The 24,002-nt window shown below is 43.0% G+C and overlaps 1 protein-coding gene across 3 annotated transcripts in view, besides 3 other annotated features; it reads right to left on the bottom strand.

Annotated features, from left to right (window-relative positions):
* The window catches only part of ATXN10 (ataxin 10), a 173,474-nt gene extending 150,071 nt beyond the window's left edge, over positions 1-23,403 (bottom strand). For 2 of the 3 annotated variants that reach the window (NM_013236.4, XM_047441314.1), the window contains exons 1-3: positions 23,058-23,403; positions 5,334-5,525; positions 2,159-2,241 (exon numbers count right to left, since the gene is read on the bottom strand). In NM_013236.4, coding sequence (NP_037368.1) covers positions 2,159-2,241; positions 5,334-5,525; positions 23,058-23,173 — 391 coding nt within the window. In that variant the 5' untranslated portion in view covers positions 23,174-23,403. The remainder of the gene's footprint in view (positions 1-2,158; positions 2,242-5,333; positions 5,526-23,057) is intronic. The other variant, NM_001167621.2, reaches the window with a different exon arrangement.
* Positions 22,771-23,100: a silencer, noted in NCBI's record as "silent region_13886". NCBI's record gives its function as "represses an Ori minimal core promoter by ATAC-STARR-seq in GM12878 lymphoblastoid cells {active_cell/tissue: GM12878}" and the evidence as "EXISTENCE:reporter gene assay evidence [ECO:0000049][PMID:35858748]".
* Positions 23,431-23,480: a silencer, noted in NCBI's record as "silent region_13885". NCBI's record gives its function as "represses an Ori minimal core promoter by ATAC-STARR-seq in GM12878 lymphoblastoid cells {active_cell/tissue: GM12878}" and the evidence as "EXISTENCE:reporter gene assay evidence [ECO:0000049][PMID:35858748]".
* Positions 23,541-23,730: a silencer, noted in NCBI's record as "silent region_13884". NCBI's record gives its function as "represses an Ori minimal core promoter by ATAC-STARR-seq in GM12878 lymphoblastoid cells {active_cell/tissue: GM12878}" and the evidence as "EXISTENCE:reporter gene assay evidence [ECO:0000049][PMID:35858748]".

The following is a 24,002-nucleotide window of genomic DNA, read 5'->3' as shown; positions in this document are numbered from 1 at the left end:
TTCTCCTGCCTCAGCCTCCCCAGTAGCTGGGACTACAGGTGCCCACCACCATGCCCGGCTAATTTTTTGTATTTTTACTAGAGACGGGGTTTCACCGTGTTAGCCAGGTAGATCTCCTGACCTCGTGATCCGCCCACTTCAGCCTCCCAAAGTGCTGGGATTACAGGCGTGAGCCACTGCGCCCAGCCAACAACAACAAAATTTAACCTATAATTTAGTACATCTAACTTATCCACCTGGAAATTTACATTAAAATTTTCTGGGGTTTTGTTTTTTTTTTTTTTTTTTTTTTTTTTGAGACAGAGTCTTGCTCTGTCACCCAGGCTGGAGTGCAGCGGCGTGATCTCAGCTCACTGCAACTTCCACCTCCCAGGCTCAAGCAATCTTCCTACCTCAGCCTCCAAGTAGCTGCGACTACAGGCGTGTGCCACCATGCCCGGTTCTTTTTTTTTTCGAGACAGAATTTCACTCTTGTCACCCAGGCTGGAGTGCAATGGCACGATCTCGGCTCACTACAACCTCCATCTCCTAGGTTCAATCAACTCTCCTGCCTCAGCCTCCTGAGTAGCTGGGATCACAAGCATGCGCCATCACACCCAGCTAATTTTTGTATTTTTAGTAGAGAGGGGGTTTCACCATGTTGGCCAGGCTGGTCTTGAACTCCTGACCTCAAATGATCCGCCCGCCTCAGCCTCCCAAAGTGCTGGGATTACAGGCTTGAGCCACTGCACCCAGCCTTTGTATTTTTTTGGAAACGGGGTTTCACCATGTTACCCAGGCTGGTCTCAAACACCTGAGCTCAAGCAATCTGTCCACCTTGGCCTCTCCAAGTGCTAGAATTACAGGCATGAGCCACGGCACCCAGCCTACATTAAGATTTTTTTATCAAATAATTTAGGTTTACCCATAAAGTATTTCAATTCCTGGCACAAAGAGATCATAAATTAAAAATCTACGTTTTTTTTTTAAACATTATGTTAAGATAATAACCACTGTCCAAAGGAAAGATGTTGATGCTAGAAGAACAAAGACCAAAACCATTCTACTAATGAGTCTAAAGAAGTGTGGTGTTTCTCTTAATCCCAAGTCAACAACCGTTAACAATCAGAGCTAAGTTCCATTTTCATCACACTAGATACTTGACTTAGACACTTAACATGTGGTTCCCCTCAACGGAATGTGAGTTCTCTAAGGACAGACACTTTTTGTCTGTTTTGGTCACTGTTTGAATCACACCCAAAACCTGGACCAGGGCCTGTCACATTCATAAATATTAAAAGTCTTACCACAGACTGAATGGCTTAAACAACAGACATTTATTTTTACACAGTTCTGGTGGCTGGAGGTCCAAGATCAAGGTGTCGAGAGGGCTGATTTCTTCTGAGGTCTCGCTCCTTGGCCTGTAGATGGTCATCTTCTCCCTGTGTCTTCACATGGTCTCTACTCTGAGCATGGCCATGTCCTAATTTCCTCTTCCTATAAGGATACCAGTCATATACCCTCATTTTACCTTAATTACCTCTTTAAAGATCCTATCTCCAAATTCAGTCACATTCTGGGTATTGGGGGTTAGGACCATGCTATGATCTGAATATCTGTGCCCCTCCGAAATTCCTATGCTGAAATCTAATCCCCAACTTGCTAGTATAAGATGGGGCCTTTGGGAAGTGACTAGGTCATGATGGTGCAGCCCTCGTGAATGGGATTAGTGCCCTTATAAAAGGGGCCCAGAGAGCTTGTTTATGCCTTCTGCCTTCCACCTTCCACCACAGGAGAACAAAGCAAGAGGCACCATCTATGAAGACGAGAGCAGCCCCCGCAAAACACCCAATCTGCTGGTACCTTAATCTTGGACTTTCCAGCCTCCAGAACTGTAAGCAATACATTTCTGTTGTTTATAAACTACCCAGCCTAAGGCATTTTGTTATAGCAACTGGAACAGACAGACTTCAACATACAAATGTGAAAGGAACAAAATTCAGCCATTCAGGAAGGGAAGTTGATACAACTTTATAATTCTTTAATAATTCACTATTAAAGTTTCCCTATCTCATGAAATACAGAACATGTGTTTCAATGAATGATGTTAATACTCAAAGTACTGGTTTTGAACCCTTTATAAAGATATAAATAATCCATGAATTATATTGCATGCTACCTGTCAACAGAGATTCCTGTTCCACTCGCAGTTCACGAAACAGAAGAATCAAATCAACAGCAACACCAATCGTATCCAAGTTCCTGGGTTTTTTAAAAAAGACAAAATTAGACATGTTCATTCATTCATATATTGTCTATGGCTGTTTTTGCACTACAATGGGAGAGCTGAGAAATCTGACAGAGATTACAAAGCCTAAATTATTTATTATCTGGCTCTTTACAGGAAAAATATAGCAACCCTAGCAGTAGAGGTTATATTTACATGCAGAGCTAACTGCTTCCAACAGCTTTCTTTGAGTACTTCCTGAAGTTTCCCATGACTCAGATTCTTTGCTTTATTGTATTTTACCCCATTCCATGCATTCTTGGCAAAAACAGTCCCAGTCCACACAAAGTGCAAAAGATGTAAAAAGATCTAGGCTTTAATAGCATCACACCTTTTGATGAACTCTTTAACGACTTAAAGTAAAACATCAGAAAAATATGTACTAGTTGCAATCTGAATCTTGACTGGCTCAGAAATACTGGCCTTAGTTAAGCTTGGCCACAAAGTCTTTACTAGAATCTTTGTAGTATTTCTAACTAGAAAATTCTTTTCTGAAAATTGCTGCCCTAAATGGTTGAAATTTTCCTTTAAAAATCAACAGTGAATAATAATACAATCCTAGAAGGGAAGAGGCAGAAAAATTAACACCCTTAAATGTTCATTTTCATTTCCGCCCAACCATAAGTTGCATGCAATAAAAAGATATCACAAACAGCACAGCCCTTGCTTTGCTGGCCCTACCAAAAGACCACCGATAACTTACTTGTCATAGTATTTATTTTTGTAATGTTAGAATTTTTATAGTTTGCATATATTACTCAAAAAAGAAAATAAAAATTGACTGCTTTGAAAGAAAGTATTAACATAAACTTGTGTTGTACATTCATTCCTGAGGCAGAGGCAGAAACATTTAATGTTTACTGAGCACACAATGTGCATTAGGCATTTACATAAGTAATCTCATTTACACCCCATAACCAGCCTGTTTGGAAGACATTGCTTACCTAGTTTTACAGAGGACAAAACTGATACTCAGGAAGACCAAGTCACCTGTCCAGGGTCAAGATGGAGCAGTCATCCACAACAAGACCAGTGTGTAAGGCTCAGGACAGCAAGGGTAGACTGCATTTTTTTTTTTGAGACGGAGTCTCACTCTGTTGCCCAGGCTGAAGTGCAGTAGCCCAATCTTGGCTCACTGCAACCTCCGCTTTCCCCGTTCAAGTGATTCTCCTGCCTCAGCCTCCAGAGTAGCTGGGACTACAGGTGTGTGCCACCACACCCAGCTAATTTTTTATTTTTAGTAGAGACAGGGTTTCACCATGCTGGCCAGGCTGGTCTCGAACTCCTGACCTCATGATTCACCCGCCTCGGCCTCCCAAAGTGTTGGGATTACAGGCGTGAGCCACCGCGCCTGGCCCAGACTGCTTTTGAGCTTAAGCTCAGAACAGTAAGGGCAGACTGCTTGTTAAGCTTAAGCTTTAGAGTCAGATGTCTGGATATGGAGAGAATGTTCCCAGCCTCTCTCACTTAACAAGTGACTCTCAGACAAGTTATTTAACCTCTCCAAGTTACAGTTTCATCTTTTGTAAAAATGAAAAAATTTCTTGAGTTTGTTCTAAGAATTAAAGAAGATACTACAAGCAAAACCCTTGGGACAAAGCCCAATGCCGAAGGCAGGCTCAACGAATGCTCACTCCCTTCCCCACCAAGATTAGCCAAGCACAAAGGTGTATCTGCCAGCCACAGTCAAAAGTTAGTTCTACGGCTCTCCTTTCCTTCCCCATCACACTAGAGCACCTTGTGACTGGAAAAGGACAAAAGAAACTAGCCTTCTGGCCAGATGCTTCTAGCATATAACTAGTTATGTTTTAGAATGTAGACTATTATTATCAAGATTATTGTTGTTTCTATCCATTTATCCTCAAATGGATGGCAGGTTTGGTTTAGTATTGAAGTTACACGACTCACTTTTTACCCTCTCTCCTTTGATCTTAAAAATCTCATTAATCATATCAAAGCCTCGGGTATATGTGTCTAACCGAAGGGAGTCCCTCAAGTGGCTTCTGGACCAGCCCAAGCTTACCCGTCACAGTGGTGACAGGGAAGCCTGGAGGCTCTGTCTACATCCAAGTCCAGGAAGGAAAGTGAGCATCCTGTTTGTGGCTTCTGACTTCAAGTAAAAATTTTTAATAAAAAGCAGGTTCCACAAAATCAAAGAAGAAAGATGCTGTGTTCTGGGAGGAGACGGTAACACGTAAAAGCAAAGAAGAGCACTGGACAGCTCGCCTGCTCATGTTTTAACTACTTTTAAAAATGTGCGCATCATAAAATAGGTGGAAGCAGAGCTTGGAACTTTACATGATCTTTAGGAAAGACAGGTCATCTTGTAAATTTACAAAATATGCTTCTTGTCCAAACACAAGAGTAACAAATTAAAACATTAAAAGTAATTAAAACATTTACAACCTGAGGTCAAGAACTGCATATAAACTTAGGCAGGTAAAATCTAGGAACAAAGACTCAAAATCAGCTTCAAAACACTATGAAGAACCAAATACCTCAAAACATGTGATAAAAACAAACAAGAAATCTAACCCCTAATGTTAAACACACTCCATTATTTTATACACTAGTCAGAGAGACTCCAATGGCAAGGCCTGTAGAGGGCCTCTCCCAGCAGATGTAAAGGGCAATCCTGCAATAACAGTGGGTGATACTATCATGCCAGAACAACTTTTTTTTTTTTTTTTTCCCTGAGACAGGGTCTCACAATGTGGCCCAGCCTGCAGCAATGGCATCATCTCAGATTACTGCAACCTCTGCCTCTCCCTGGCCCAAGCAATCCTCCCACCTCAGTCTCCTGAGCAGTTGGGACTACAGGTGTGCGCCACCATGTCCAGCTAATTTTTTGTATTTTTTTTGTAGAGACAGGGTCTCACCATGTTGCCCAGGCCGGTCTTGAACTCCTGGACTCAAGCAATCCTCCTGCCTCAGCCTCCCAAAATGCTGGGATTACAGGCATGAGCCACCTTACCCAGCCCAAAACAACTTCTAACAGATAAACCAAATGACAGAACCAGCATGCACATATACAAAGAAACAGAATCCAAGGTACGTGTGTAACTACCTGATTGAATTCTGGTTCACAGAACACTCTATGCAAGCATTGCGAAGACACCTGAAGCATTCTGTTATTAACTGCAGACTGGAAGCCAGGTTTTCCACTTGGGATGGATCTCTGCAGGCAAGCTCAACAGCATGAGAAGATTTCTTTAGGATATCCAGAACTCTTTGGAAGATAGTCCTGGGTGCTGTTTCTCTGAAAAAGGATAAAATTATCACGAATCAGAAAAAAAAGATTATGATTTCCAAATGTCCTATTCAGAAAACTGCTTTTATCTACTATTGTGGGGAGGTACGCTACGTTTATCTGCTTTAGCTCCTTAATTTACAACACCAAATAAAAGATCTACACATATTGAGCACTTACTATGCACCAGACACTGTTCTTGTCACTTCTCATGTATTATCTCAGTCTCTGCAACAGCCTTATGAGGCCAACACTGTCCTCTCCATTTACAGATAAGGTAAGTGAAGTAGAGATGGTAAGTAACTTGCACAAATCACTCAGCCAGTAACTGGCAGAGACACAAGGCCAAGTGAAGCACTCTGGCCTGAGCACTTCCACTACCCATGACAACCCAAATCCCAGTTCCAGTGACTGCTCATGCTTATGGATCTACCCTGAATCAGAACAGAGTATCTTTATTTAATGTTCTAGACAGAGAATATATTCTGGTCCTCTGTCACCCAATATGTAGCTAAGTTCAGTTATAAGAAACAATATTCCTGTAGGACAAGGATACTATCTACTCTGTAGACACAGTGAGGCTGACAACACACACACCAAACTTCTACAGTCAACTACATAGATGGGAGAGAAAGGAGAGGGGGAGAATGTAAAGTGTGCCTGTTCTTCCACCAAGAATGTATGCCCAGGGAGAAAGATGAACCTGTGGTTGTACCCTCTGGGCATCTCAGTCTCTGCGTGCCTCTCATGCCAGGAGTACTGCCTGCACTGGCTATCATTCCAGAGCTCTAAAGATAAGAATTTTTTGTGCAACATTGCACCTAAATGCAAGCCAACTTCCTCATTCCATAAATCCCCTAAAGAAACAGCAAATCTCTTTTAACGTTAGAAGGAAAGTTGCCACATTGGACAATTTAAGAGATTCTATAAATGCCAAATGATTCAGACCATATGAATTTTCTCCTTCTGCTCTCGCTGTAGATTCACAGTGCCCTACCTTTCACCCTTGGATTGAGCCAGACCAGCAGGGAGCCACATGTTCATTCAGAACTCTGGACACTGAGCTGCCCAGGTTACAGAGCTGCTCAGTTGCCGCAGAAGACACCTATGGAAGCCCCTTTTCCGGGGGCAGAGGAAACACGTCTTTCCTTGAACTTCAGTACCATGGCTTCTTATACACCAAGTGATGTGTGTTTTTATCTTACGAACAGACAATAGAACTCACATTATTTATTATGTTTTCTCTCTGTCGGGGCCTTTCTTAAGTCTGGAGTCAAATTTATGACCCAAACAACATGAATCCTTACTTTTTCTATCTGGCTTTTCCACTACCCCTAATTTCCCCCCTTATCTTTTTCTCGTATTTATTTTTTAAGGTATCTCAAACTTGGTTTTGAAAGAGGCAGAGTATAAATTAATTAAAAACTGGGAAACTGCACATAAAATAATTTGTCTATGTCTCCCCCAGTCAGCCCTGAGTGTAAATAATGAAACTTTGACTCAGTGTCTCGGCAACTGAGTGACCAAATTAAGAAATGAAAATTCAAGGGTACAGCACTAATCTTGCCTCAATAAACTGTATGAAACAAGTACATAAGCCATTTTTTAGTGACAGCATTGCCGTAAGAAGAATGGAAGAATACTCACTAACACTCTTTTTTTTGAGACGGAGTTTTGCTCTGTCGCCCAGGCTGGAGTTGCAGTGGTGCAATCTTGGCTCACTGCAACCTCTGCCTCCTGGGTTCAAGCAATTCTTCTGCCTCAGCCTCCCGAGTAGCTGGGACTACAGGCACACGCCACCACGCCCGGCTAATTTTTGTATTTTTAGTAGAGACAGGGTTTCACCATTAGCCAGGCTGGTCTCGAACTCCCGATCTCGTGATCTGCCTACCTCGGCCTCCCAAAGTGCTGGGATTACAGGTGTGAGCCACTGCACCTGGCCGATTCACTAACATTCTTAAGGTAGCTTTAAGGAGTACCAAATATATTGTAGACACTCATCAGCTAAGAAAATAACCAGGAGTTTAAAACACTATGAAGAATGCTAAGGCTGATCACAATTTCTAGGACAAAGAACAAAACTAATCACCTCTATTTGCCCCATCTGCATGAAGTTTTGAAGCCATTTATTATTTAATGCTATAGTCAAGTAAAAGTAGAGCTCTGCAACTTGAATAAGCTTCAATAACGCCTCTCTTTTCCTACTGAGATGACTAAGAATGTGTATTTACAGCTGTAAGAAAGCAGCGAGAATTATTTCTTTCACCTGATCCTTTGCCGTCTGCCTCTTATATGGGAACCACCTTTCCCCCGTGAATGGTCTTCCCTGAAGTCATTCCTTGCAATCGTAACATCTGTTTTACTCAAAATTGGTATCTAGCACAGCAAAAGCTTTGGAATCAAACTATGGTACAGACTAAACAAGACAGAAGAAAAGCAATATTCTTAAAGAAAATGGGAAAAATGATTTCCCGACCATAGAATAAATACTAAGTTCATGAACTATGTTGTGAATAATTCCCAATGCTACATGGTAATTTGTTATATATGCACCATGCCCTTATAATAATTTTAACCAAATGAAAAGCATTTAACTGAGCTAAGGCCAACCAAAACATTCCTGAAATCCAAATAACTATTAATAGCGACTAAAGAGTAATCATGACAGCATCTATTTGGCACACAATAATTCGCGTTTGCAGTATAAAGAAAAAATAATGTGGAGCTGTGATCACTGTCATATGCTCTCCCCAGGTTGTAAACCATGGATTCCTGAAAACCCCCGATTTCGCCAATCTTCTGTCTTTGCTCAAACATATCTCACCACCAGAAGAAAGTCCTCTCCAAATCTCCCAATCCTCTGCCTGGGAGAAACTTACATCTCCTTTTTTTTTTTTTTTTTGAGATGGAGTCTTGCTCTGTTGCCCAGGCTGGAGTGCAGTAGCGTGATCTCAGCTCACTGCAACCTCCACCTCCTGGGTTCAAGTGATTCTTCTGCCTCAGCCTCCTGAGTAGCTGGGACTACAGGTGCATGCCACCACGCCCGGCTAATTTTTTTGTATTTTAGTAGAGACAGGGTTTCACCATTTTGGTCAGGCTGGTCTCGGTCTCCTGACCTCGTGATCTGCCCGCCTCGGCCTCCCAGAGTGTTGGGATTACATGCGTGAGCCACTGCGCCTGGCCTGCATCTCCTTTCAAACCTTTGGGAAACTCAGACCTGGAGAAACTCCTCCACTTTTCCAGACAAACAGACTCCCTCTATGAAGCCCTGGAGATCTGTTCATAAGACTGGAATAACTTGTCCACATCAGATAAGATTTATATAACCTATCTCCCCGGCTAGACTGTTAAGTCCTTGAAAAATGGAGACTATCTTATTCTTTTCTGTATCTCTAGGGCCCAGAATTGGCACCCATTAATTGAATTTGTTCAAGTTTTAAACAGTGATGAGACTGTTTGCACACTCAAAAGTGGCCCCTGACTGCATCACAGCCTTGCTATGTAATCCAAGCACTTACAGAGCTTGTGCTCAGAGCCAGGAATCAAGCCTGACATAGGCAGTGAAATCAGTACCCTTTGAGTCAGCAACAGAAAGGGGAAAGTGAGGCATCAGCTCAACCCTCCCTTTCCCATTAAGAAATCCATATAATCTCTACTCAGAAACTTAAAAACGTGTCAGATTTTAAGATGTGAATATCATATAGATATTTTATGACTGCTGTTAAGCAAACATCGAATTTCTCCTTTCCCATTAAATGATACAGTGGATAAGCTTGAGGGTCTGGGAGGAGTTATAACCCAATTAACTGTATTTTAAATTTCTTAAGAGCAAAGAACATGTTTTAGATGTGTTTCCTTTTATAAATGGTGTCAGTAAAACTCTTCCTCTAGAGTCATATAATAAATATCTATAGCTTCTATTCACCATATTTTTATACAATATAATATGTCAACAACTTTCATCAGATGAGGACAAAGAAGCTTTTATTCAGTAACAGTAAATACTATGAAAGCATTTAACTCTTCTATACATCTTTACCTTCTCTACAGCCTTGAAAGAAAACTATTTGGCATTACAGATCCAGAATAGTCCTAGTATACTCTTGTCTGCAAAATCTACGTTCACTGTCAAGACAATGCAGCTAAATATGTGTAATGATTAACGACAATGAAATAGTAAAGATCAATCACTCCAATATTACAAAAGTTATTAATAATAACTGCTGTCATTTCTGCTTTAACCAAACTAACAAAAAATGTACAGCGACTTTAAAAAGCTTAGCTACTTCATTCACAGAAGGCGGAAAGTACTTACAAGGACAATTAAAATTCAACCGTTAGACATTCCTATTACAAAGGAATGCATACCCTGAAGACAATGTATAAATGAAATGTTACATTACAGAACCAAAAAAATCCTTTGAATTATACAAAAGGTAGAATTTCATTTCCCTCAAGTTTGAACAGATCTGTAGGGTTTAATCTTGGCAAGTTCTGTTTGAGTAAAATTAAAGAAAACTACCTGTGATTATATGTAACAGGTTAGATAGGTCTAATATACTGTATGCACACACATTTTACAGTTCAATCATCAGGTGGGACCTCCTACTGAAAAAAAAAAAAAAGCTACATGCTAGTCATTGTAATGCTACAACTAAGACCTTCATACTTGTTAAAAGATTTATTCTAATACCTTAGATTTACTTAAAAACTGGCATATGTGGTTTAGAGTAGTTTAACAACTGCCAGTGAGAAAAACTATTAAAATCCACACAAGTTCACAGATTAAAACAACAATCACTGGTTGTTATCTAAAACCATAATCTTGCTGATTTGACTGGGCAGGATTGAACAAAAACAGAAAATAAAAACATCTGTATCTCCTGCCACAAACAGCCTAGGGTAAAATTTTGAAATCTGCGCAGAACTCAAAACTTCTTTTCACACTCTTCTCTCCTCTTCTGTCACATCCAGGATTCCGAAGCCGTCCTGACAACCCAGACCAATCCATTTTGCAGGGTCACAAACTTTTTCTGTAAAGGGTCAGAGAGTGAATATTTCCAGCTCTGATGGCCAAACAGCCTCTGTCACACTCTCAACTCCCCCAGTGCACAAACGCAGCCACAGGAAACACCTAAACAAGTGAACATGGCTGGGCTCTAATGAAACTGTTTGTGGAAACTAAAATTTAAATTCATATAATTTTCATGTGTCATGAAACTTTATCATCTCCCCAACCATTTAGAAACGTAAAAAACCATTCTTAACTCATGGGTCATAAAAAAAACAGGTAGTAGGCCAGATCTGGCCATGGTCTGGCAACCCCTGCTTTAAAGGGCTCCAAACATACCAGTCCTCTCCCCACTCCCCAAAAACCACACACTTCCTCTTTCCCACTGTCCTCATCACATTGAAAATTCATCTTTCATCAGAACAAACGCACTGTGCTAAATGAAAGGAACTAAGGCGGCCAGGCGCAGTGGTTCATATGCCTATAATTCCAGTGCTTTGAGAGGCAGAAGCCAGGAGAGTTCAAGACCTGCCTAACATAGCAAGACCCTATCTCTACAAAAAAAAAAAAAACAAAAAAACTTGTTTTAATTAGCTGGGCTTGATGGTCTGTGCCTCGTAGTCCCAGCTACTTGGGAGCCTGATGCAGAAGGACTGCTTGAACCCAGGAGTTCAAGGCTATGGTGAGCTATGATCACAACACTGCACTCAGGCCTGGGTGACACAGCGAGACCTTGTCTCTAAGAAAACATGAAAAGAGAAGAAAATGAAAGAGAAGCTAAGAAAAGGTGAAATTAGCACAGAGGCAGAAAGTCAACCACTGGAAAAGACAGCCCAAGAGCAGAACTGTGTATACATGGTAACTTGGTAAATGGCATCTATCAATAGCATTAAAGACCTGGGGAAGATGGACTGTGCTCGAAGAGGTGCTGTAACAACTGTTAATCTAAAAAGAAAAAAACTGAATTGGATCCTTACTTACACTACCCAAAAAGTAACTCCAGGTGGATTTAGGAATTACATGGAAGACAAAATTGCAAGGCTTTGGAAGAAAATATAAGGAGAATGTCTTTACATGCTTAGAGAAAGATTTTGTACATAAGATATTATTTAAACCTTATTTTAAAAGTAGTATTTAAGCACAGATCCAAAGAAGGTGAGGGAGCCAACTATGCATCTTGCTGGGAGAAGAGCTTGGACTAGAGGCAAAGGCATACAGAGCACGTCACAGGGAAGTCAGGGCTGGCTTCAATGAACCCCAGTGAGAAAAGAGAAGTGCGACTCAGAGAGACAAGACAGAGCCACCCTGGACAGGCACAGTAGGCCACGGAAGGACGCTGGCTTTTATCCTGATGTGAAGCCATGGAAGGTTCTTTTTTTCGTTTTGTTTTTGAGACAGAGTTTTGCTCTGTTGCCCAGGCTGGAGTGCAGAGGCAGGATCTCAGCTCACTGCAACCCCCGCCTCCCAAGTTCAAGCAATTCTCATGCCTCAGCCTCCCAAGTAGGTAGAATTTCAGGCATGTGCCACCATGCCCAACAAATTTTTGTATTTTTAGTAGAGATGGGGTTTCACCATGTTGGCCAGGCTGGTCTCAAACTCCTGGCCTCAGGTGATCCACCTGCCTTGGCCTCCCAAAGTGCTGGGATGACAGGCGTGAGCCACCGTGCCCGGCCCATGGAAGGTTCTGAGCAGAGGGGTGACATCATCTGACTTACATGTTAAAAGGATCTCTTTGGCTGCTTTGTAAAGAATCAATCTTAAAGGGAGAAAGAGACGACAGCAGGAGACCAGTTAGGGGGCTGTTTTTGGAGCAGAGGGAAAGCAGCAGATACGGTAAACAGAAATCAAATTCTGGATATTTTAAAGATAGAGCCAATAGGACTTGATGATGGATTCTTATGAGGGTGTCTAAAAAAGGGGAGTGAAGGATGACATCAAAACTTTAGCCTGAGCCATAAATTGAAAGATGTATTTATTGTTTACAGAAACAAGAGTACTCTGAGGATATCTGGTGGATGAGAGGATCAGTAGAAATACAAGTAGAATGTGAAGTAGTCAGGTGAATAAACAAGTCTAGCATTCAGGAGAAAAATCTAGCTAAGCCAGGTGCAGTGGCTCATGCCTGTAATCCCAGCACTTTGGGAGGCCAAGGTGGGTGGATCACCTGAGGCCAGGAGTTCAAGACCAGACTGGGCAACATGGTAAGACCCTGTCTCTACAAAAAAAATTTAAAAAATAGCCGGGTGTGGTGGTGGATGCCTGTAGTCTCAGCTACAAGGGAGGCTGGGGTGGAAGAACTGCTTATGCCTGGGAGGTCAGGGCTGCAGATCGTGCCCCTGCACTCCAGCCTGGGTGACAGAGCGAGACCCTGTCTCAAAAAAAAAAACAAAGAAGTCCAGCTAAAGAAAAATGTTAGTCACCAGCAAACGGAAGTTATTAAAGCCACAAGATTGAGTGAGAATACTCTGAAAGTAAATATAGGCAGAAAAGAGAAGAGGTCTGAGGACTGAGTTCTGAGATCCGGGAAGGATTATCACTCAGGGAAATGGAGGGAGAGATTTTTCTTAGTATGGAAAAATTACAGCAGATCTATAAACTGATGAGTGCAATCCAATAGAAAGGGTAAAACTGATGATTTTTAAGGGGGGAGAGAAGAAGACTGCTGGAGCAATGTGTGCAAAAGGCAATGGAATTTAGTGCAAACTTAAGGGGAGCTCATATTCAGAGCAAGATCGCTAATCCACAGACCAGAAGCAAAGGCAGGCTACGGGCACAGATACAAGTAGGTGGGCAGAGAGGGTGATGAGAGTTCCTGGAAATTATCTTCTAGTTGCTCCTATTTTCAGAGAGCTGAGAGTGAGGATGAGGGAGATGGGATGGAGGTTTGAAGAGGGTGGAGCATGAAATACCTGACTCGGGGAGCAGGAGAGTCAAGGGACCAGGGCAAACAGCGGGACTGACAGGTAGCATTAAGGGCCACGTTAGTTAGTGATCAGCAAGTTAAAGTGAGAGCAGTCTGCACGGCTGTATGTTTTTCTCTAGCCTTGTTCAGCTATTTGGGTACTGTCGCAAAGGTAACAAGTTGGATTTGACCAGAGCTGGAGTTTTACCAGGCAAACATAACAAAGTTTAGAGAGGAGGCAGTGGAGTTGAGGATGTACATTAAAAAATGCTCTTATTACTCATCCATGGATCTAAGCCAGATCAAGATGGGAATGTGAACATTAAGAAGGGGAATGAAAAACAAAAGGGGTAGTAAATAGGAAATAGGGTCAAAAGACTGTAGGTCCTGGTGAGGTTAAAGACTTGATGAAGCAAGGGCCCTAAAGAGAAGATAAAACAGGGATTGGGACTCGAGATTGTGGGGGAAGGCAGCTACAGTTATGGATAAAGTCTAAGTAAGGTATGGCAATGTGTGTCTGAGATGGGATGGAGGTCAAGCTCACTAAGGGAGAGAAAGTCAAAGAAATTCGAGGTCAGGATAATGAAAGGAAAATCTATATAAACAATGAAATAACGAAGATTTAAGACAGGAGAAGAAATAGAGTGAAAAGTGAGCCAGGGCTAAACTCTTCAAGGAATGAGGCAGACTGACCCAAAGGTCTCTTTTAACCACAAAAGTGATTAAACAAGGGATACTCTGATGTCATGAGATTAAAAGTTGGAGTGGTCTATGGAGGAAAAAGGTCTGAAAGCAGCAATGACAATCAAGGAGAACTACCACACCTTTGAGCCAAGCATTGTACTGAGTGCAGGAGAGAAAACAGCCTCCCACTTTCAAGAACCCTGGGAAAGGCATGTCCTCAGAGCCATATTTCATTTAGATCAAGAAGATGAATGGATGTTTACAGAAGTTCAGGATACAGGGAATTTTGCTGAGGGCATAGAGAAGGATCTTAAGAACTGGGGAGTCAGAAGAGGATTCATGTAAAAAAACCTTAAAGGGTTCCAGGAACAGTGGCTCACACCTGTAATCGCAATACTATGGGAGGCTGAGGCAGGAGGATCACTTGAGCCCAGGAGTTCAAGACCAGCCTGGGAAACATAGTGAGAGCTAATCTCTACCAAAAAAAAAAAAAATTTTTAATTAGCGGGGCATGGTGGCGCTGTGATGGCACCACTGCACTCCAGCCTAGGTGACACAGTGAGACCCTATCTCAAAAAAACAAAAAAGCCTTAAAGGGATGACAGTTCAGAGAGTAAGAGAAAACCTAGGAGTTTCTCATATAACTTAGAAAATCTGTGTGAATTTCTAGCAAAAACCCTGCTGCAATTTTATTATGAATGGCATTGAATCCACAGGTCAATTTGGGAGGTATTGATGTCTTTGTTATTGAGGTTTCCTATAATACAATGGTGTATCTTACCACTTAAGTCTTTTTAAATGTCTTTTGATAGTTTTATAATATTCTCATTGATGATGATGATGACAATGACACCAACAACGAAAACGCTAACACTTAAACTGTGTCTATTAGGTGCCAGACACTGTTCTAAGCAGTACACAAACTCCTCAATAGCTATAATGAAAGAGCATCCCCCACTTATGGATCATCTCGTTAACTCTAATAACTTCTCTAAGCTTGTGGCCATCACAGGGCCCAGCTCACCCTACTGGTAGTCCCACAGTTCCTTTGCTTTTGAGTGTCATTGCCCACAGTCCAGTGACCAAGCCCTTGGGTCCAGTGACCACTACAAAAGACTGGAAGAATGAAAGAGCTGAGAAACTCTGCTCTGAGGGTACTGGTGGTCACAATCCTAACCTTATTTATTTCGATTGGTTTTATTTATTTCGGCTGGCTCAAACTCTTTCCTGTCTACTTCATGCATTTAAGATAATTGAATGTATGAGGTGGCTCACACTGACCACTTCTGTATTTTGAAGCTGAGTCAGAACACCTTACCAAACAATTCCATGTAGCATTCCAGCTCATGGCATAGGTAAAAATAAAGGAAATTGCCAGCACACTCTAAAATATGCTTTTTATAGTGTAACTTAATTGATGTTCTCTCTCAACAAAGTTGAGCTGAATCATGGTTGAGTCAAAACGCCATATGGCGTCCTCAGCCAAGCTGACGACTCGTGTGGGTTTTTGTTTTTTGGGTTTTTGTGTGTTTTGGTGTAGTTAAAGACACTTGCTGCCCAGAGGCTCAGTAATGTCCGGGGAAAATCCATGTGCGTGTGTATACACAGATGGATAGGTTTATTTTTTACCTCTGTGGTATGTTGACCTCTAAAGTGCTTAATCTATTCACTTTCTTTATGAAGGTTAGTCAACATATTTATACAACCAAGTAACAATACCAAGTCATTTTTTACCCCTTGAAATCAGTCATCTGTCATATTTAACGTTTCCTGTCCCCTCCTAATTAAAGTCTTTCTTGTATGCTCTCATTTTCTCTCTCATGGCTCAAGAAAATCAGGTGTTCAAGAAAATAATAAAAATACTATTGGATGCTCATTATGTGGTAGGCCTGAAAGTTGGTACTGAAAACAGAGGTAAATAAGAGTCCTGGCCTCGGGCTGCTCTCACTCTAGTGAGACTGGTAGGTAATTAAGTGATTATGTGAAGTTCTTTGAAAGAGGTAAGCACAGAGTGCCAAGGGAATACAGGGCAAAAGCACCTGAAGGTCAGAAACGGCTTTCAAAAGGAAGTGAAATGGTAACTCAACCTTGAGGGAAAATGAAGAGTGTGTATAAGCAAAGGAATGAAGGCTTAAGACATTTATATTTACAAATTTACAAATTTATTTTGTAAATATAAATTACAAATATACATTTTTAGCAAATTACAAATGTATTAAATTTAATAATTTAATAGCATGTGAGCTACTCCTATGTCAGTAGTTCAAAGTAAGCTACACATAGTTAATTTTATCCTATCAATCACAGCTGCAGCACTAAGCACAGATCTTACATGTATCATGTGTGGTGTGAGTCAATGAATGAATTACATGGTAAACTAATCAATAGCATTTTAGCAATTTGAGTAATTACTGATTGGCTCACTGGAGCTACTGGCTCTTCATTGCTCTATTCAGTTCAGTTCAACATTTACAGAGTACCCAAAATGGGCCAGGCACCCTGCTAAGAAACACCATAAAGTCCCTCCCTTCAAGAAAGGCACTACTGAGTAGGGAAAAAGATACATAAAAGGCTATTTTATTATGAAACAAAAATAGCAGTGAGGGAGGAGTTCACATTTTAAACACATCCCCTCTACTCCAAACAATGTGACTTTTTAAAAATCATAAATATATAGCTTCACATGCCCACCAAAATTCAGTGTCACTCATTTTCATTATAGCCATTCTAATAGGGATGCAGAGGCACCTTACTATGGATTTGTTTATAACAGCACTATTGAGATAGGGTTCACGTGGCACACTAAAGTCACCCACTTAAAGCGTACAATTAAATGGATTTTGGTACATTGTATTATTAATTTTTTTAACTGTGGTAAAATACATATATATAACATAAAATTTGCCATGTTGTTCATTTTAAGTCTACAGTTCAATGGCTTTAATTATATTCACAATGTTGTACAACTATCACCTCTACTTCCAAAATTTTTTTTAACACCCAAATAGAAACTCTGTAAACATGAAGCAGTAACTCCCAATTTCCCCTCTCTCCAAATCCTAGTAACCTCTAATCTACTTTCTGTCTCTACAAGTTTGTCTGTTCTAGGTACTTCATAAAAGCAGAATCATACAGAATTTGTCCTTTTTCATTTTCTTCGGGCACATACCTAAGAGTAAAACTGCTTGGTCATATTCCATGTTTAGCTTTTTGAGGACCCACCAAATTATTTTCCATAGTAGCAGCACCACTTTACATGTCCACTAGCAACACACAAGGGTTCCCATTTCCCCACATCCTCAACGATACTTGTTCTTTTCCATTTTTTGGATAATAGCCATCCTAAACGGCATGCAGTAGTCTCTCACTGAAGTTTTAACTGCATTTCCCTAATAACTAGTGATTTGGAGCACTTTATCATACGCTTATTGGCCTTTATTTTTCTTTGTAAAGCACAGATTTTGCCCAATTTTTAAATTGAGTTGTAGGAGTCTTTTTTATTGAGTTGTAGGTAGGAGTACTTCATATATTCTGAAACAACTTCTTTATCATATATATTTTAAATACTTCTCTAAGTCCAGGACTTGCCTTTTCTTTTTTTTTTTTTTAAGACCTTTTGGCCTGAATTTTTTTTTAATTTTTAAATTAAACACCAACGAAAACCTCATTTTGTCTAAGCAGATTGAAGAGAAAAAATGAGCTATACTGATAGAAGCTGAAAAAAAAAATTACTGTCTACACGACTAAGAAAAAGACCAAGCAAGTGCAATGAGTAATAAGTTATAGAAATAGCAGCAACTCCACAAGAAACTGATAAGCATCTGCCACTATCAACTCTATGCTAGATGCCAGGCATACAGTGAATGTGATGTGCCCACTTCATTCAAGAAGCTCATCAGGTGGAAGACCAATGAGGTATCAGTTTAAGTATGAGATGAATTTATAGAAAGCAGCATCCAAATGTTCCATTATTTCAAGAATACTCAAGAGTCAAAATACAATCTCCCCTATAGAAAACTTACTACAGAAGAGCACTATTTCCAGAACTTTCTGTGATGATGGAAATATTCTATATCTGTGCTGTCACATCACATGTGGCCAATGAGCACTTAAAATATGGCTAATGCCAGCCTGGGCAACATGGCGAGACCCCATCTCTACAAAAAATAAACAAAAAAATTATCTGGGCATGGTGGTGTACACCTGTAGTCCCAGCTACTGGGGAAGGAGGCAGGAGGATTGCTTGAGCCCAGGAAGTCGAGGATGCAGTGAACTATGATCGTGCCACTGCACTCCAGCTTGGGCAACAGAGTGAGACCCTGTCTCTAAAAAAATAGTAATAAAGGGCAGGGCACGGTGGCTCATGCCTGTAATCCCAGCACTTTGGGAGGCCAAGGCAGGCGGATCACCTGAGGTCGGGAGTTCAAGACCAACCTGACCAACGTGGAGAAACCCCGTCTCTATTAAAAATACAAAATTAGCCAGGTGTGGTGGCGTATGCCTGTAATTCCAACTACTCGGGAAGCTGAGGCAGGTGAATCGCTTGAACCCGGGAGGCGAAGGTTGCAGTGAGCCAAGATCACACCACTGCACTCCAACCTGGGCAACAAGAGTGAAACTGTCTCAAAAAAAAAAAAACAAATTAAAAAATATGGCTAATGCAACTAAGGAAATGAAACATTAATTTTACTTATTTTCAATTAATTAAGTAGCTACATGTAGCTAGTGGCTACTTAATGAACAGCACAGATGGAGTATGACAACCCATCTCACCTGGCTCTACACTTTGTGGGGTCTGGAGATGCCTCATGGATGCATCATAAAGGCAACTAGCCAGGTACGGTGGCTCATGCCTGTAATCCCAACACTTTGGGAGGCCGAGGCAGGAGGATCACTTGAGGCCAGGAGTTCGAGACCAGCCTGGGCAACATAGTGAGACCCCCTTCTCTAGAAAAAATGCACTCCAACCTGGATGACAAAGTGAGGCCCTGTCTCGGAAAAAAAAAAGAAAAATAATTAAAGGAGCAACTAAAATAGAATTTTAAATGTTTGTCTTACTTGTTCAGAAAGAATTTAACATGACTTGCAAAGACTCACAGCAAGATAAATCACTTGTTAAACAAATGTGAAATACGGTGATATCTACATTAAACAAAAAGTATAAAACAAATGTGAGAAAAAAGAATTATCTTACACAGAGAAGAAACAGCTGAGGAATATCTCAATACTGATATTATATGACCATAAGCAATATGTTTAAATTATTTTAGTGACCAAGACACTGTTTAAGAAGTGGGTTACAGAATGCATTTAATACACAGCATGGAGAATTAAGACTGGTGTATTAATGATGTATTGCTACATAGCAAATTAGCCCAAAATTTAGCATTTTAAAACAATAACATTTATGATCTCACACAGATCTGAGAGGCTTAGGGTGTCTCATGAGGTTGCACACGTGGCTGAGGATGTGACTGGAGCTCAGAGGACCTGCTTCCAAGGTAGTTCATCACATGGCTGTTCAAAGGAGGCCTCAGCTCCTCACCACACAGCTCTCTGCATATGGATGCTTGAGTGTCCTCATGACATGGCAGCTGGCTTTGTCAGAGTGGGTGATTCAAGAAAGAGCTAGCAAAGAGGAAACTACGATGCTTTTTATGACCTAGTCTGAGAAGTCGCACACTGTCACTTCTACCATATTCTACTCTTCAGGAGCAAGTCACTAAGTTCAGCCCACACTCAAGGAGAAAAGAATTAACCTCCTCCTCTTGAGAAGGTCAGAGTATCAAAGAATTTGTGGACATATTTAAAATTCCCACAATGGGATGTAAGAATTTCTTTTCACTTGGGGGCTGCTAAAATTGTAATGAGATCCTGAGATCCCCTTCTCCGGAAACCCCAAAATTAGAACTGTCTTCCTGAAATAGCTGCAATTTTTGTTTCTGATAAGACAGGAGATTCAACACAAATGGATTCTTGGTCACTTACAACCTTGTTATATTTTAATAACAGGTCCTAAATAAATGGCATTTACTATGCATAAACCACTATGCTACACATATAATATTACAGATCCTCAAAATAATCTGTCAAAGTGGCTACCATCATCCCGTTTTCAAGGAAAGAAACAAGAAGCCTCACAAACTAAACCAGGATTCACATCCAGGTCTCCATGGTTCCAAAGCCACTGCTCTTCCCACTGCATGACACTTCTATTACTCAAGCTACCACTGACAGAAGTTTGTTTTGTAGCATGGAAGAGCTCAGAAGGACCACCAACTACATTATGTCTATGATTCTTCAAATATAAAATGGAATCCTAGAGAAATAATGTATTCCACCAAAAGAGAAGAATCTCTTAATTACTTTCCTCACTGTTTTTGCTTTTTGTCTGCTGTTTTCTATTTGCTACACTGAGGACTCATTTTGCCTGGCTTTTTGTCTCGTCCACCTTCTAACACCTTGGCCCATCCTCCCCCTGGATCCATCTGTGTTCCTGTTCATACTAGACAACAGCCCTATGTCCTCTCTGAAGAGGAGACCCCCAAGGACAAACACTGGCTCCCTGAGCATCAGAACTGGAGGGATCCTCTCAGAGGAGCAGGAGTCTGGGCCCAGCCCCACAAGACCCTTATAATTTGTCCAAAGACAAAGAGAAGCAGTGACAGAACCAGGACCAGAAGCCTGTCCTTATAAACCCTGATCATGAGTTCTCTGCACCACCACACAACTGTGTCTTTCCATGCCAGGACCTGCACATCAGTTCACCTTTCCTGGTCTCCAATCTCTGCCTGGAACAAGGACACTGTCCCAGAACTCAGATGAAATCTGGGAAGCATCCTCATTTCCTCATTCTCCCCCCCACAATCCAACTGGTCCGAGTCCTGTCCATTCAACCTTGTATCTCTCAGTATTTATTCTACTCATCCCCACAATGTCCTAATTTAGGCACTTTTCTCTTTCACATGGGCTTCCGCTACCACTCCTTAAAGGTCCCCCCTGTCTCTAGCTTCGTCCTCTCATTTATTCCCCACAATGGAGGCGGAGGCGGCCAGGAAGATCTAACAGGCAGATCTTATCGCGCCACTCCCTTGACAAAAACCATCAATGGTTCTCTGTAACTTCTTCCCTCACAAGAGATAGAGTCAAGAAGGGCCTTCTAAACTGGCTCAGGGGCTTGGATTTTCTCCAAGTTATAAAAAGGGAACTGATGTCTGACTAAATGTCTCTTCTGTACGAGAAACCTTATCTATGTTACTTAATTGTCTCATCGGTTTTGCAAAATTAACATATGGCCCCTTTGCAGACACTGTTCCCTCTAGTCCTCTCATCTATAACCGAGCACCTGAAATAACCTTAAAAAGCCTCTCCTGGCTCGCCAATCTTCCAACATATCCACATGCTCCCCTGTGCCACCACCTCTTGTATAGATTTCCATTACAATGTGTTTATTTAGCTATTTCCCAAATATGCCTGATAAAAGGGATCACTCACATCATTCCTCTCTGTACCCTCAGACCCCAACAAAAAAATCTGTTTCATAGTAGGTGCTCAATAAATGGTTGATGACTGGGTTATTAACTAAAAGGAGGGTCCATCATGATACAGAAATGCCTAAGCATTAAATCAATAAATACATCTCCCCCAAAGGCCCATAGAGCAGTACCAGGGACTTTTATTAATAGCATTCCTTCAGCAGCTCCACATTTCCCAAAGTGATGTGAGGTAAAGGAAGTGCTCAGACCAGGTGTCTAGTTTAAAGAGAGGAAGTCCTCTAGTGATCACCTAGGCTGACCCAAGTCTCAGTATTTCTTTCTTCAATGTTCCCTCTGCTTTGTACATACATACCCCCACAGCTGTGTTATCTTGTACATACTAGTACAGGAGAGAGCAAGGACTTTCCATTTTCCTACCCCATCACCTAGCACAATAGCTGATACATGGGTAACTACCAATCAATGTGTTAAGTGATAATATCAGCTACATTTAGTGCTATGTACAGGTATGTCCTAAGGATTTAATATGCATTATATCTCATTTACTCCTTATGACACTATCACCAGGGAGGTACTGTTCAACTTTACTCCCATTAAATAGACAAGAAAACTGAGGCCCAGAGGACAGAACAAGATCAAACAAGCATTGACTGAGGGCTTCGCACATTTTATATTTTCACGTACTTTATTTCATTTATTCCTCTGTACAATCCAGCAACTAAGCTGTGTATTATAGTCCCATTTTTAGACAAGAATTCTAAGGCCTGGAGAAACTGCACAGTAACACGCAGCTTGCAAGGCCAGGAACCAAATCCACAACTGTCGACTCCTGGGCACCTTCTCTTTTTGCCTGGCTATCTTGCCCCTCAGTGGCATCAGGACTGGACTGGTCTCTCCAGGCCCGTGCTCTTCCACACTGCACAGAGCGCTGCCCCCAGGGCAGATGGTGCAGCCTGGGCTCTAACGCCGAGGAGAAAGGAGTGCCAGTCCCACTCCATGCCTAGAGACTGCCATCCCCGCAACTGCCCAATTCCCGCGTCCGTAACACGGGTCTCTCCCGCTAAAACACACGCTTTATGACTCTGGGGGCCGCGTGGGTCTTGCAGCCAGGGCCTGGCGCAGCCCTCGCACATGACAGGGGAGGCCTAACCGTGTGTTGGGTCAACATCACCGGCACGCCGCGGCAAGGGCTCCCGGGATCGCGGCTTCGCACCCGGACTGGCTGCGGTGGGGGAGCGGGGCGCCCGCCCCAGGCCCCGCGGGGACCCACGAGCACGAGGCGGTGCCTGGGAGTCGGGAGGCCTGGGTGGCGCTCAGGCAGCCCGCGCAGGCCTCGCCCTCCGCGTCTCCAGCGAGGCGGGGGCGGCGCCTGGGTCCAGGCCGGGGCCGCCGCGGGAGTCCCGGCCGCCCTCCCCTGCCCGGGGCAGCCCCCCGGCCGGACCCGTTACCGGTTCCGCTGCTCTTTGAAGAGCGCCGTGAGCGCGCGCAGGGCCTCCAGGTCTTGGATGGGCGCCGGCACCATGACGCCCGACAGCCTGGCAGGCGGCGGCCTGGGCGCCGCCATCTTGCCGCTCACAGCTGGGTCGAGCCTGACGAGGAGGAGGAAGGCGAGGAGGACGAAGGGGGAGGATGACGAGGAGGGAGGAGTAGGATGGCGAGGAGGAAGGGGGAGGCCTCGCCCTACACAGCCCTAACCGCCGCCGCCGCTGCAGCCCGCGCTGCCCTGAAGCTGCGCCGCCGCCGGAGAGCTCTAGGCTGAGCCCAGACTCGCCTCAGGCGGGAGGAGGAGACGGCGCCGCGGGGGAGGGGGCGCCGGCGGAAGTCCCGCCTGAGGGGAGGGGGCGCGGCGGAAGTTCTGGGTGAGAGCGGGGAGGGATGCTGGGGGTGATTGACTGGGAAGCGTCGCAGACGGGGCTCCTCCGAGGGGAGGGGACGCCGGGGGGAGGGGGACCTGTGTTGATGTGGCCGTAACAGGGTCTCGGTCTTGGGAGCGGGTATCGGGAACCAGAGGTTCACCCTGAGAAAGAGGGGCGCGTCCTATAGGAGGGTGCCCGCGGACAGAGGGGTCTCCCCCAGGGGAGGGGATCCGGGGGGTAAGGGGCCTGTGGAGGGTGGGGCCGTAACAAGGTCTCGGTCTTGGGAGCGGGTATCGGGGACAGAGGTTCACCTTGAGGAAGAGGGGCCCTCCTGTGGGAGGGGGCCCGCAGACAGAGTGGTCTCCCCCAGGGGAGGACATTCTGGGTGGAGGGGACCCTCTTGGGAGGAGACGCTGACTGAGGGTCTCGGGAACGAAGGGGGCCGGGCAGAGGCTCCCACTGCTAAGGCTGAAGACCTTGATCCCACTGCTCAAGTGGGTTGATCAGTGCCCCCGCCCGGGTCCACTGGAAGCTGGA

Source organism: Homo sapiens, chromosome 22 (assembly GCF_000001405.40).
Source record: "Homo sapiens chromosome 22, GRCh38.p14 Primary Assembly".
In the NCBI taxonomy this organism is placed as follows: domain Eukaryota; kingdom Metazoa; phylum Chordata; class Mammalia; order Primates; family Hominidae; genus Homo; species Homo sapiens.
Note: the sequence above shows the minus strand (reverse complement) of the source record. Positions and strands in the feature narration are given on the sequence as shown.